This window comes from Homo sapiens, chromosome 11 (assembly GCF_000001405.40).
Source record: "Homo sapiens chromosome 11, GRCh38.p14 Primary Assembly".
Lineage (NCBI taxonomy): Eukaryota > Metazoa > Chordata > Mammalia > Primates > Hominidae > Homo > Homo sapiens.
Genome location: NC_000011.10, coordinates 79,980,650 through 79,995,132, shown reverse-complemented (window position 1 = coordinate 79,995,132; position 14,483 = coordinate 79,980,650). Strand labels below are relative to the sequence as shown.

The following is a 14,483-nucleotide window of genomic DNA, read 5'->3' as shown; positions in this document are numbered from 1 at the left end:
CTGTTGCAGGATGAGTGGACAAATGGAATTAGAAAGGGAATTTAGAGAAATATCATGGAAATCATGGATGTCTTGCTAACGAATTTAGAACTATTTGATTTCAGAAAAAGGAAGTAAATGGAGTGACATAAAAATATCATTGCTTTTTCTGTTTTTCTAGCAATTATTTTTTCCTAAATTTCACACTTTCTAAATGCAAATTCAATCTTAATGAGAAAGAACTAGCAGTCTTGTCTCTGAAGTTGGTTTCTTGCACTTAGATTTGTGAGAAATGTGAATAGACTGAGAAGTTAGGGGTGGAAGAGGCTTTAACTGCTACTAAGTCCATCACCCTCGCTCACATGCACAGATTTCACAGATAAGGAAACTGAGGCTCAGGAAGACTATAAGCTATAATTGCTTTCATATTTATCACAATATGTAATTTTCATTTCTGCCCACATGATGACAATAATAACCTATTTTATAATACAATATAATCCTTACTTTCTAACCATTAGGATTAGGTTTCTGAAAAATGTCATGGAGGAATGGTTTGTATTTCAAGAATTAAGACATTATGGAAAATAAAGACTTAGTAGCAAGGAGATCAGGAGTAAAACCTAGGAAAGGTTTAATTTTTATGTTTACTGAAATATAACAGTAAAAACAGAACACTCAATATAGATAGCACTAATGATATTTTATGCATGCTAAATTAGAATGGCCTCTGTGCAATTAATTTTCATTTACTAACTTTTGGAAGTTTCAGGGTTTCAACTCCCTTGCAGCCTCTAGGATAGCCTTGTACATTTGTTTTATGGGCATGATGAAGGGCAAGAGGCATTTGGTTTTGTGACTTTCCTTCACATAAATGGTAATGTCTTTCTGTTTTTATGATGACAATATTTCAAAATTTCGAAAACACATAGGAACTATGAATATTTGAGATGGAAAAAGTTCTGGGTGATTGGTAAGTAGCTGGGCATACTTCAGACACCAAGGTTGTATTCCGAGCTTGGCTACTGAGAAGTTCAGGTCAAAGTTTTCATACTTAGCCTTAGGGCTCTCTCTCTCAGCACACAGAGGCTTCTACTTTTTTTTTTTTTTAATCTTGCCCAAAGCTTTATTACAAAAAACAAACAAACAAGCAAAAACACTTCAGTTCCACCTCTATGTTGACTCTTTTGATATTCCCAATTCTTATTTGATTCTCCTCTAATTACCCTTGAGAGTAGATTCACTAAATTTCCAAGTACTCAACTCAAACTTTTATAGTTGTTGTAAAGGTATACAAATGCAAATTCTTTACAGAAAATCTCTGTGGAAGGAAAGTTGCCATTGGAATGGATATTCCAATCATAACTCCCCATATGCTAGCAACTCAAATATTTCTGAGGCACTGGAATAAGAGCCCCAGTGCATTATTTACTTGAAAAGCATCCACTCCACCCCTTTCAGCAGATTGAGATCAAGCTTAGAAGACAAAAGCCTTGGAAATTATTTCAGTTTCCATAGGTGAGAAACTCATCCAGGTTGAAGACACATGCTTGGTACAGAAAAGACACTTGGGGTCAGGGGAAAGTGGCCACACAACTAATCTCAGTAGGTTGATCTTTAGCCTAGTTTGCTTAGGAACAAAGCTGTACTACTGACCCAGGAAAAAACAAAAACAAAAACAAAAAAAAACATGTCTCTAGAGTCTCTGTAAAAATAGCATATTGTAGGCAGTCAGTAAGTATGTGCTGCTCAGGAGATGATAGGACACTTTTTTTTTTTTTTTTTTTTTTTTTGACGGAGTTTTCTCTCTTGTAGCCCAGGCTGGAGTGCAATGGTGCAGTCTCGGCTCACTGCAAACTCCGCCTCCCAGGTTCAAGCAATTCTCCTGCGTCAGCCTCCCGAGTAGCTGGGATTACAGGTGCCTGCCACCACACCCAGCTAATTTTTGTATTTTTAATAGAAACGGGGTTTCACCACATTGGCCAGGCTGGTCTCGAACTCCAGGACACCTTTTTTGACTGTTTATGAAGAAAGAAGCAGCAGCTATAAATGCTGCTACCTGCTGAAGCATTTTCTGAGAAAGATAAACCCTGGGGATTTTCAGGGGAAGAAAGTTAATAGGCAGTTTAGGGACATGTATCTACTTATTCACACCCTTCCCACAACACATCTGTTTTTGAATCAGAAAATAATAATTTGAACACAATCATCAATGTTAAGAGTTTTGGAAGATGTTTCAAATCTGTGATCTCACTGAACCAAATCACAGGTGTTCTTAGTAAGATAGAGCCAATGTTATGATTCCCTTTAGGTAGAAGGAGAAAATGAGGCTCAAAAAAGGAATGGAACACATTCAGATGCATATACACCATGTGAACCCCCATACGTGTGTGCACATGAGCACACTTGCACACAGTAAGTCCATTATTCTGCCATCTCAACAGTAAAATATGGCCATGGCATAAGACACTGGGCCACTCTCCAGAGCAAGCCACAGGCTGGTGTTCCATTTCCTGAGATGCCTTTGTGTAATGTGAGACAGAGGGTCTAAACAAGGTACAAGCCAGGATTTTGAGAAATAAGCAAGAAGTCTTTCCTTTACCACAGTTTACATTTTTAAAATTTTACTAGTACTTTTATTGAGTTATAATTTTCATAGAGTGAAAGGCACAGAACTTAAAAACATAGTCCCATGATTTTTGACAAATTAATTTATACGCATAACCCACAGCCCTATCAAGACACATGACATTTCTATCAAGCCAGAAAGTCTCCCTGTGGCCCTTCCCAGTCAATACTCCCACCTCCACTGGCTTTCCTTTTAATGACTGGGTACTTCTAAACAGCCAAGATAACATTTTTTATTATTGTTCATAGCAGGTAAACAACTCTGGGAAATTCATCATCAGTTTCTAAAAGTAATCTGTAAACCACATCCAAATATTTTTCTCTTAGGTAAGTTACCAGAACCTATTTATTTTAAAGATATTAAACTCTTTCCCATAATCATTTTTCTAGTCTGCTAAGTATAATGCCTTAATTGAAAATATATAGTATGGTTTCATACGAGAGACACTCATTGTACATGCTTATTAAATAAACATGCTATTTAACTATCTCATCCACCCTTAACATTGACTCTTACTTTGTAAATATATAATGCATTATATGTTGTATTTCTATGTCACTGATGGCTTTGTTAAATTTTTAAAAATTATTATTAATTTGATTTGGGGTTAACTCTTTATTGCTCAGATCCTACTTTCTCAATGGTGTTTTTAGAAAACATCTAGCAGAAAAGGTGGATAAATGTATTCTTTGGTCAATAAATGACTACCACTTTGAGATAGATTTTCTTCATAGGAAAAAACTCTTTAAGAAATAGAATCAGTGAATGCATTCTTACTGAAAATTGTTAAATTGTTTCTTAAGCACGACTCTTGAGCTTTAGTTCAAATGAAAGCATAGATTTTGAAAGATATTTGATCAGAGGATCAACTAAATTCTGAAATATTCAATTTCATTGTCTTTCTTTACCTTTAATTGCATTACAGATGTCTTATAAATGTGTGATTAAAATATGAAAAAGTATGTCAGTAAGTAAAAATTCATCACCTCAGCCAGAAGTGAAGAGTATGTATCACCAGCCAGAGGCTATCATCACCACTTCCAAAGACAATGAGCCTCATTGAACTATAAGCCATTCCAGCAATTATAGCTGTTTCACTCACTGTTGTGCTCTGAGAATCTAGTTCAGTGCTTGGCACATACAAGCGCTCAACATATGTTGAAGAAATAACAAAATAAGTGTGGACAAAAACTGGTCCTCATCTGTCCTTAGTCCATTCAAGTTGCTATAACAAAAATACCATAGACTGGGTAGCTTAAACAACAAGCATGTAGCAAACATTTATTTGTCACAGTTCTAGAGGCTGAGAGCTCTAAAATCAAGGCACTAGAGATTCAGCTTCTGGTGAGGGCCAGCTTCCTGGTTCATTGATGGCAATCTTCTCTCTGTGTCCTCATGCGGCAGAAGAAATGAGGAAACTCTCTGGGGTCTCCTTTGTAAGGGCACCAATCCCATTTATGTGGTCTCCACGCTCATGACCTAAACACCACCCAAAGGTCTCAGCTACCTATATTGTCACATTGGAGGTTAGGATTTTAACATGTAAATTTTGGGGGCATATAACATCAGTCCATAGCATCATGCAACATTATACCTCTGTTATCTAGCATACCTGCCACATGAAAGCTACTCAATATCTTATTGAATAGAATTAGCCACACTTAAATGGTAAAGGACTGAGAAGGCATGGTAAATGTATCTGAAGCCACATCTCAGAAAGAAAGATGTTTTAAAATCATTTTGTTCAAGGCAGTGACTTAGTACTTTGCAGGTCAGTGAACAGTTAGTATGTACTATGACATATGTTGGATTTGGAAGCTTACTCTGTCACCTATTAACCATGTGACAGGGGCAAGTGTTTTAGCCTTTGGAGACTCATATAATGTAAGTCTGTGAAGTGGGATTAAAATAACTCACTGAGATATGAAGATTAACTGGGAACTTTCATGGGAAAGTTTCTGCACAATGCTTGGCACAGAGTGGTTGGGACACTCTCTTCTTCCCTTCGTCTGAAGGAGTAGCTTTCTTTAAAATGTGGAATACTCGTGAGATTATGAAAAAAAGAGTGAGGCTGAACTTAGCGCCTTCCACCTTGATTTATTTTCTGTCTGTGACTTCTAGTTCTATTTTCTTACAGACAAATGTGAGTTATTACTCCTATTAGCACTGCTGAGCTGTTGCCACCATGCTAGAGCAGACTGGACTCACTCTGAATGTGATGTTAAAAGCTCTGCCAGCTGAGTGCATCCTGGGTTTCCTTCACAAACCATAGAGTTTCTGACTATGGGATCTCACAAGCACAGTATTAATCTCAAGCCCTAGCCTGAAGTTTTGGTCATGCCAATATGAGATTTGGCAGGACCATCACTGAAATAAAAGATTAAGTTGAAATAATATGCAGTAATCCAACCTAAGCCACTGACTAAAAGAAGAATCCATCTCTGATAAAGAACTGGCTATTTTATAATCAGCAAAGGGACCCTAACCATGTTCATTCTGAAAATATTCTTCAGGTACTGATAAGTCAAAGGGAATACTTTTTTAAAAAATTTATACTCCTGGATAAAGGAATTCATTACATTTGTATACTATAAGTTCAAGAATGATTTACTCACAATTTAGTAATGACTTTGTGGAAAGTACAGTAAAATGTGTGAGCAGTTTTAGTTATATATATTATTTGTTGGACTCTAAAGTATTCCACAGTTGTTTTGATATATGCCTGTTTGGAGTTAGCAATGTACTTTTCTGGATAAACATCACATAAGGATTACACATTTATCTTCTCACCAAAACAGGCTCCTCCACTCCTCTAGTGTATGTAAATATGACTGGTCACCTTTTTCTCTTAAGCTAAATCTGATAGTTCTGGCTTTGCTCATTTGCTTTCTAGCAGCCTCCCCATGTTAGCCTTGCCACATGGTCAGTCTTCTGTTTGGTAGGTTTTATAAATCCTAAAAGTTCTAGTTCAAAAACAGTTCTAATACACCAAGCATAGATAATTTCATTCATTTCTTCTGAGGATGTAGAATTTGCATCCATTTTTTCAGCAGCTGTCAAAATTGTTGCAAAAGCCTGTGAATAGTCCACAAGGTTGATTAGCCTGCGACACTCTAGGTACAATTTGTATGCTATGCAGATGTCTGGGGTGATATTTGGAATGCACCCTTCTTCCCTTTTCAGTGCTTCATTCTTTAGAGAATAGTAAGGATTGTTGAGTGCAGTATGGAGGGCAATTCACGGAGCAGCATTAAATGCCTACGAAGGGCATGGGCGGCGCTGAAGCACACCACCTCATGGAGGCTGTGTCTCGGGAGGCAGAAGGTATTCTCTCACTAGACAGTCATGAAGTTCACAACCTTTTCTCTGAGTACTTCAAATTTGGTTTGCTTTTTACTTCTGCTTAACTCCTTCATTTCCAGTAAAGACTTCTGAAGATGATAGAGGTCTGCCTTCTGAAGCCCCTTTGGCTATGAACCAGAAGCATCTTCTACCTCTTTGGTTTCATCGAAGCTCTGAAACTGGGCCAGGAACTCCTGTATTCTCTTAGCTGTGCTGCCAAGGTGCTTTTCACAAGAAGATTTAAAAACCTCGAAACATTTCTCAAGTATGGTCATCAGTTCATCCTTTGCCAACATCTTCAGCAGCTGCAAGACTGATGCGTACTCCTCTGAATTCCGGATGTTCTTTTCTAAACATGCGGTACAACTCTCTGATCTGTCGACCTAGTGGATACTTGGGAAGAGAAGAGGTGAACTTATGAACACATCTCAAAACCAGAAAGTAATTCATATGATAAACATGCAGGTTTTCTAGTAATAATTGCGTTTCCTTCTTCAAACATCTCTCACTGGTCAAGAGCGCAACTTGCTTTTCTGAAGCTTGCTTTTCCACATATCTCCTAAAAGATGGAAGACGTCAGATGTTTTCACATTGATTATTTGATAAAAAATTTATTCTTCTTTTGACTTATGGAAGATTACAGCACAGGACACTTAAGGGCTGGGAACAGAAATGCTCTAATAAAGAAAGTTGAAGACTTTTATAAAGTTTTGAATCGAGAAATCATGATACAAAAAGATGTTGGTCAGAACCTGCAATACTTTTTCATTTATTTTAAAGGGAAACTGAGTTGTAAGAAGTAGCTTATTGAGTACCATAGTCTGATGCTCCTTGCAAGACAAAAATTGGAACAGTTCTATACACAACAGAGATGATACTGCATGAGGAAACAATCGGTGGTTGATAATAGATGTGGCGATTCCCACAATGAGTATTAGTGGAAATTCATGCAGATGTTGACTGCTGATAATTATGAAATCTTGCAGTACTTTTGTGGCAAAGCTTTCCATATCCTTTAAGGTAGCCAAAACAGGAGGAGACTGCCATTGGCTAGAAGTAGTCCTCTTTTTGCTTGGCATTTTTGGGTCTGTCTTCTGTGTGACAGTCATGTACCAACTGGAAAGTGAATCCATTAAATAATGTGTATTTCTCTGGGTGACCTGAACGCTTTCCCCCTCTTTGGATTTTAGATGTACACAGCAGTTCATTAATTATGAGACCAAATTTTGCAAAAAATGTTTCATATCTGGACAGTCTTTAGCTTGCGATGAGACTACATATGGTGTGACTTTATTCTGAAGGGCCTCTGTTAGACTTCTGAATGTTAAATCATGATCTGTGACTTTCACACCAAGAACAAGAGCAGCAGTTGGAATTTCTCTGAGTTTTGTTTGACAGCCCAAGTCTCTTGAATTCTTCTGGAATCCAGAATGAGATTTTTGCAGAAATTCAGTTAGATTGTCAAACAAGTTTTTATTTAATTCCTCTTGTAGTGGCTCATTTTCAGATTTCATTTGCTGCCATATCAACTAAGTTCCAAATTGAAGCTTACTGTCCTTAGGCTCATTTTTCCCTTTGTTAAAATAGTCCTCCATTGGCACAGAGATCTTTCTCTTTTTGGAGTTTGGCTTAAAAACAAAGCAGCCCTTAGACACTGAGGAGGTGGCCATGGTCTTACTGGCTCTGTGGATACCAGATGAACCGGGAATACCTTTTGACTGTGATCCCAAGGGGAGAGTGGAAGAGTACAGGTTAAAGAGAGTACTGCAATTTCAGAACACTAGTGGATTCTATTGTCCTTTTGCGATTAGACTTATTTCAGGGTCATAACAGGTATTTTCCTGATGGTACCTGATAGGACACTTTAAGTACGTACATGAGGGCACTAGCATTTTGAGCTGCATGGCCTGGTCTTATTGACCTCTTTTAGCCCAGAATCTTTAGTGAAGATACTTGCCTCTTCCATCACATCCTTCCATGTAGCCCACTTCCCAGTTACACCAGTGCACACCTGATGGCTTAGAAACCAAGTCCATCTAATACATATACCCTCAGCTCATATACACCCTTTTTCTTTGGTATTCCTACCTTTGCATGTACTAGTTTATAATTCAGAATATTCTCACCATCTTTTTTTCCTGGGGATATCTCTCACTTCCTTTGAGACTCTTGGCTCTTCCTCTGACCTCCCATAAGACACTCAGCTTATAGCTTTATAATAGATTTAGCTTGTTCTGTCTTCCTATATAGAATTTTTACATGGCTGAATGTACAGAATGGATAAAGAAATGAATCATAATAGATATTCAACAAATATTTGTGAAATACATTAGGTTTTTTTTTTAAATTAAGTACCAATCTGGGGCATAAATTAGCATAATTTGTGGGTGCTGGGAGGGGGAAACGATAGTAAAGATACAGCTAAGGTAAGAAGATTGACTACATACCTCTCTCTAACTTCATGGGGTGGAGACTTTCTTCTTTGAAGTTTTTTTGAGGTGGAGTCTCGCTCTGTTGCCCAGGTTTGAGTCAGTGGTGCGATCTCAGCTCACTGCAGCCTCTGCCTCCTGGGTTCAAGCAATTCTGCCTCAGCCTCCCGAGTATCTGGGATTACAGGTGCCCACGACCATGCCTGGCTAATTTTTGTATTTTTAGTAGAGACAGGGTTTCACCACATTGGTCAGGCTGGTCTTGAACTCCTGACCTAAGGTGATCCGATGGCTTTGGCCTCCCAAAGTGCTGGGATTACAGGTGTGAGCCACCACGCCTGGCCCTGAAGTTTTAACATATAATAAAAATCAAGATGAACACTGACCTTGTACTAAATATCTTCTATCAACCTCTTATGAAATAGCAGTCACATTGCCAGTTAGTTTATCTCATTCTAAGCCCCTACTTAAATTGTAAATAGTAATTCATATGCATTTGCCTGGTGTTTTATGATTTCCTAAGTGCATGTATATCTATGATCATGGAAGTTTATATAATGTTAACTGCACAGACTTCAATATTTGCTTGAATTCTAATCCTGGCTGTATCATGTATTGACTTATAACCTTGGGCAAGTCTATTAACTAACTTCCCTGAAACTCTGTTTCCTTGATCACAAAATGCAAATAGAACATTTCTTATAGGGCTGCTGTGTTTATGAGTGGATCACTAATACACACTACATATGTTGCATTTATTTTTGATTCACAGGAAGCACTCAAAAATGTTAACAATAATGTGGATAATGATCTTTTTTGAATTTTACATACAAGTCTGTGAAACAAGAAGAGATTTTATTATCCTCCACTTAGTAGATAGAAAAATTGAGACTGTTATCATTAAACTTCTAGTGCATAAGTAACTTTCTCAAGGACCCAATTACAACATGAAGGTAGAAATTGTATCCCAGGTTTTCAGATTCAGAATTCAGCATTTTTCCACTGTAATAGATTCCCTACAACCTAAAATACTGTCTCATTGTTCTTTCTTTGGTTTACTGCTCTTTGTAGACTTGGCTTAAATTTGTGAAAGGCAAGTGTGAGGGAAAAGAGGGATTTGTGTTTAAATGAAATGCGGGTATGAAAAAAAGTGAATTTAGCCATTCATCCCTACTGAGCAAGTTTGAAGAAAAGCAATTTTCCTATTCTCTGCAAACCATTCCCAGTTACCATGAACAGTCGGTGAAAAAAATATATATTGGTTCCATTACTTTATTAAGCATCTTTTGAAAGGATATCAAAAGAACTTCATTTATAAAATCTTGTAAAGGTATGAAAACATTACCAACTACAAAGATAAATGGTTGAAATGAAATGGGAACTGATCTTTTTTGACAAGAATTCCTAGTTTGATAACCCTGGCTGTTTTTCCCTTAAATGTACCTTCCGAGGATTTGGCATTAATCAAACCACATTTTAAATATACCGTTACATTAAGTAATGCACATTTGTCCTCAGAGATAATGCTGAGTCTTTTTTACTCTTTATCAAAGCACATTTTAATTGACTGGGAAATTAAGAAATACATTCCTTGCATATAATATGAAGAAATATGTTCGCAAAAATAAATATAAAAAGAGGTTTATACCAAAAGCATATAGCTAGATCTAGTTGCAGAGCTATACAACTTGGCTCTGTTTGAGACTACATCTAGTTTAATGTAACTTGGATCAATTTTAGCAACTAGAAAGCACTGTAGAATAGACATCAGGATTTTATACACACACACACATTGTGTATATACAGATATATATACATATATATTTGAAGAGAAGCAATTTTCAAATATATGTATTGCAACAATGTTTACCCTCTTGACCAGGAACATTAGATTGCATCTGTGTATTAAAACATGACATGGAAGTAGCTCCTGTCTGTAAACCGTCCTCAATCTGTTAAGCCCTATTGATCTCAGAGAGGTGATGGAGAAAAGAGAAGTCGTCCCTCATTCTAAGACTTTACTAAAAAGACTCCATATCCAGGGCATGGTACTATATATCATAATTTTATTTTTAAAAAAGAGAGAAATGGCAAAAATAAAACTCTGCTCTTCTTTTAAAGATCAGAAATTCTAATCAGTTGCATTGAAAATTAAATAATAAATAAAAAACAATAGCATCAATGATTTATATCTGTATCGTGCTTTACCATTTTCAAAGAGTATTTATAGCCACTGTTTCAAGTGGTCCTGCCACCAACACTGTTAAGCAGGATTTAAGTCAACACTACTCTGCTAAGATATGACTAATGAAGTAGATACTACTATTAGTTCCATTTTACAGATACATTTTACAGAACATTTTTTAAAATGAGTTTCTGAGAGGTCAAATGATGTGCCCAAAGTTATGCTAATAAGTGGTCCAGCTTAAACGTGAATCCATTCAACTTGAATCAGAGCATGGTATTGACATCATTTGACAGTGAGATTGTTGAATCCCACTGCGCTCGTTGGCAGGGAAAGCCTAGAAGTCAGCAAAAGTCATTTCTCTTGTAAGTCAAAATGGCATAGCCAGATTTTGACACTTTTCAAATTAAATGCTTTTCTGTGTTACCATTGCTTATTGTTCATTTCTTTACCACACAGCACCCAGTATAGAATAGCATACAGTACACTTAGTTAACTATCCATCTCTCTCTTGAAACTTGAGTTACACACACAATTCAGGGCAAGGGCCCAACAGTTTATCATGTGTTCCCGTTACAAGATTTTAAATAGTAATTTCTGATTCTCTTTCCAGCCTTAAGATGGCATCCAGCCAGAAGCAGAGTGTTCCTCTACCTTCAGTAGACAGTTTACAACCTGAACCCCTCTAGGCATTAGTCCTTGCTCTGACTTGAGCATCAGCTCACACTCAGAATTCTGAGTTGGATGCCTATTTTTAAAGCTGAGGACACCTCTTCCTGAGTTTTCCTACCTTTCAGCAGGAGCAAGATGTATTAGTCTGTTCTCACGTTGCTAATAAACACATACCTGAGACTGGATAATTTATAAGGGAAAGAGGTTTAATGGATTCACAGTTCCCCATGGCTGGGGAGTCCTCACAATCAGGCGGAAGGCAAATGAGGAGCAAAGTCACATCTTACATGGTGACAGGCAAGAGAGCTTGTGCAGGGGAACTCCCATTTATAAAATCATCAGATCTCGTGAGATTTATTCACTACCACAAGAACAGTCTGGGGGAAAATGCTCCAGTGGTTCAGTCATCTCCACCTGGCCCCATCTTTGACACATGAAGATTATTACAATTCAAGGGGAGATTTGAGTGGGCACCCAGCCAAACCATATCACAAGGTAACTTCTCTCTGCCTCCTTATTGACTCTTCTCCATAGCAATCTGCACCTGTTAATCACTTCAAGAATGAACATCTTACCATTATTCATGTTGCCTTTGGAATTATACAAGTTGGTTATCCTGCTGGTGGCACTGTGGTGGAAGTGTTCTGATAACAGGCACCTTTTCACACTAGGTAATGTTCTAGGTAATGTGAATCTCATGGCTGTTACACAAATAGGTAAACGGAGGTGCCAACTTCCACTGTGTTCTTTAATCATTCAAACTGCAGCCCATTCCTGACATTGGGCACTTGGGCTGTCTCTTCCTGATACATTCATCTCCGTGTTTTTCATTTCATTCCCTTTTTCTTCTGATCTAATATCTCTATCTAGTCATGAAATTTACTTTCTCACAGTCCGCTGATATCTATAACTTATCTCTAATGCAAATTACAGTCACTTTTCATCCCTTAACTCTGCTGATTTCTTCATCCACTTGCTTAGCAAATATTCAAAGGTTCAAAATGATTTGACTTTTTAAAAATTAGTAAACTTTATTTTTAGAGAATTTTTAGGTTCACAGCAAAACTGAGCAGAAGGTACAGTGATTTCCCATATATCACCTAACCCCCATTGTACATGGCCTCTTCCTCTACGGATGCCCTGCACCACGGGAATACGTTTGTTACGCTCAATGAAGCTACATTGACACATCGTTACAACCTGAGGTCCATAGTTTACATTAGGGTTCACTCCTGGTCTTGTACATTCTATGGGTTTTGACAAATATATGATGACATGTATGTGCCATGGTAATATTGTACAGAATAGTTTCATTGCCCTAAAAATCCTCTGTTCTCTGCCTATTCATCCCTCCCTCCTTCTTAATCCCTGCCAGCCACTGATCTTTTTACTGTCTCCAGAGATTCGCCTCTTCCCGAGTGTCATACGGGTGAAATAAACAGTATGTAGCCTTTTCAGATTTGCTCCTTTCACTTAATAACAGGCATTTAAGGTCCTCTCTGTCTTTTCATGACTCAATAGCTGATTTTTATTAGTGAATTGTGAATGAATTCCATTGTCTGGATCTACCACAGTCTATGTATCCATTCATCTACTGAAGGACATCTTGGTTGTTTCCAAGTTTGGCAGTTATGAGTAAAAATTTTTTTTTTTAAAAAAACATCAGATAGGGGCCTGACACTCTGCTGGGTACTGTTACGTAGACTCTCTTAATGATTCTCAGACTCCTCAAGATGGTTAACAATTTGGAGAAGCTAAGGCTCGGAGAAGTTAAGTGACATGACCCAAATATCCAAGATGGTGAATATAATTGTCAGGACTCAAACTCCATGTGTTTTAACATGGAGTCCACAGTTTCATCAGCTGCCTAGGGGAGGGGATTATTACCTCCCTGCCACTCTCCCTTGCTAATGGTAGACATTGCTGGTTAGCTACAGCATATTTGCTTGTGAAGCCTAATTCAATACAAGCTGTCAATAATAATCAATTATCATTGGCATACATGATGAAACCTAACTGGCATCCTTGACCTGGCCATGAAAGAGTGTCACATATCTCCTTAGAGCATAAGCATTCAATCTTTGACAACATTTCGGCTGACACCAATGAAGTATGGATTTTATTATTAATATAATGGCCTAATTCAGGAAGAAGCTATATACCCTTATGGTCCTTTTAATAACTTTCTGGTACATTAGTAATAATGCCTTAATTCTGTTAACTTATTGAAATTCAGTTCTTACTAGCCTTCACTCCTATCTTCATGCCTATGCCTAGCTACAGGCAGAATGTTCTAATATTGGGCCTTTTCCCTTTACGTAAAAATGCTTCCCACATATGCAAGGAAGAGTCGAGCTTCAGTTACCAATGCATGTAGGAGAAAGTGCCCATTATCATTAGGATTGTAGACCAGTAGAAAGACCTCGGAAAGCACACACATTCTAGACTGTTGTGTGTTGACACTTTTTTACCTTTCCTTGAGGTTCTCTGTATATCAGTGCCACCTAATTTTATATTTTCTGCTTTTAATATATGACTCCAATCATGTCACTTACTGGGAAGGATTATAGTTTTGATGTCTGGGTTTATTGAAATCTCAGAAATTTCTATTGGAGGCCCAGTGTTTTCTACACCATGCAACAATTTGCTACAAAATTAGCAGCTTAAAACATTATACATTTATTATCTCATAGTTATGGATCAGGAGGACTACAGGAAGAGCTTAACTGTGACCTCTGCTCAGGGATCTACAAGACTACAATCAAGCTATTAGCCAGGCTTCATTGTTATTCACAGACTTGAATAGGGAAGAATCTGCTTCAAGCCTACTCAGGTTGTTGGCAGAATTGCAAGTGAGTCTGTCATGAGAGAGTTTTATATGATATAACTTAGTCAAGGGAGCAATATTTCATAATATTTTTATGTTCTATTGGTTAGGAGCAATTCACAGGTTCTGTTCACTCAAGGGGAGAGGATCACACAAAGACCTGAATATCCAGAAGAAGGGAGCATGGGACCACCTCAGTCTGTCTACCCCAAGAAAGTAGCTTAGGGTGATAGGAAGAGAATCAGTGAGACTCCAAAATATGAAATATTATTTAGAGAAACCTAGAATAGATCTTGATGACAACATGACCCAGAATGCCTGGGGAAAAGCGAGGTGTATGTGCATTCCCATGAATGCCCATTAGGTGCCAGCTACCATTCCGAGAAGGAGAATTCAAAGACAAGAACATTCTTCTCTCAG

The 14,483-nt window shown here is 37.7% G+C and overlaps 1 pseudogene, besides 1 other annotated feature; it reads right to left on the bottom strand.

Moving 5' to 3' along the window:
- Positions 1 to 5,215: 5,215 nt before the first annotated feature.
- Positions 5,216 to 7,652, bottom strand: LOC646112 (origin recognition complex subunit 3 pseudogene; annotated as a pseudogene).
- Positions 13,744 to 14,245: an enhancer, noted in NCBI's record as "NANOG hESC enhancer chr11:79691931-79692432 (GRCh37/hg19 assembly coordinates)". NCBI's record gives its function as "activates a minimal SCP1, AML or CMV promoter by ChIP-STARR-seq in naive H9 embryonic stem cells {active_cell/tissue: H9 hESC(naive)}" and the evidence as "EXISTENCE:reporter gene assay evidence [ECO:0000049][PMID:30033119]".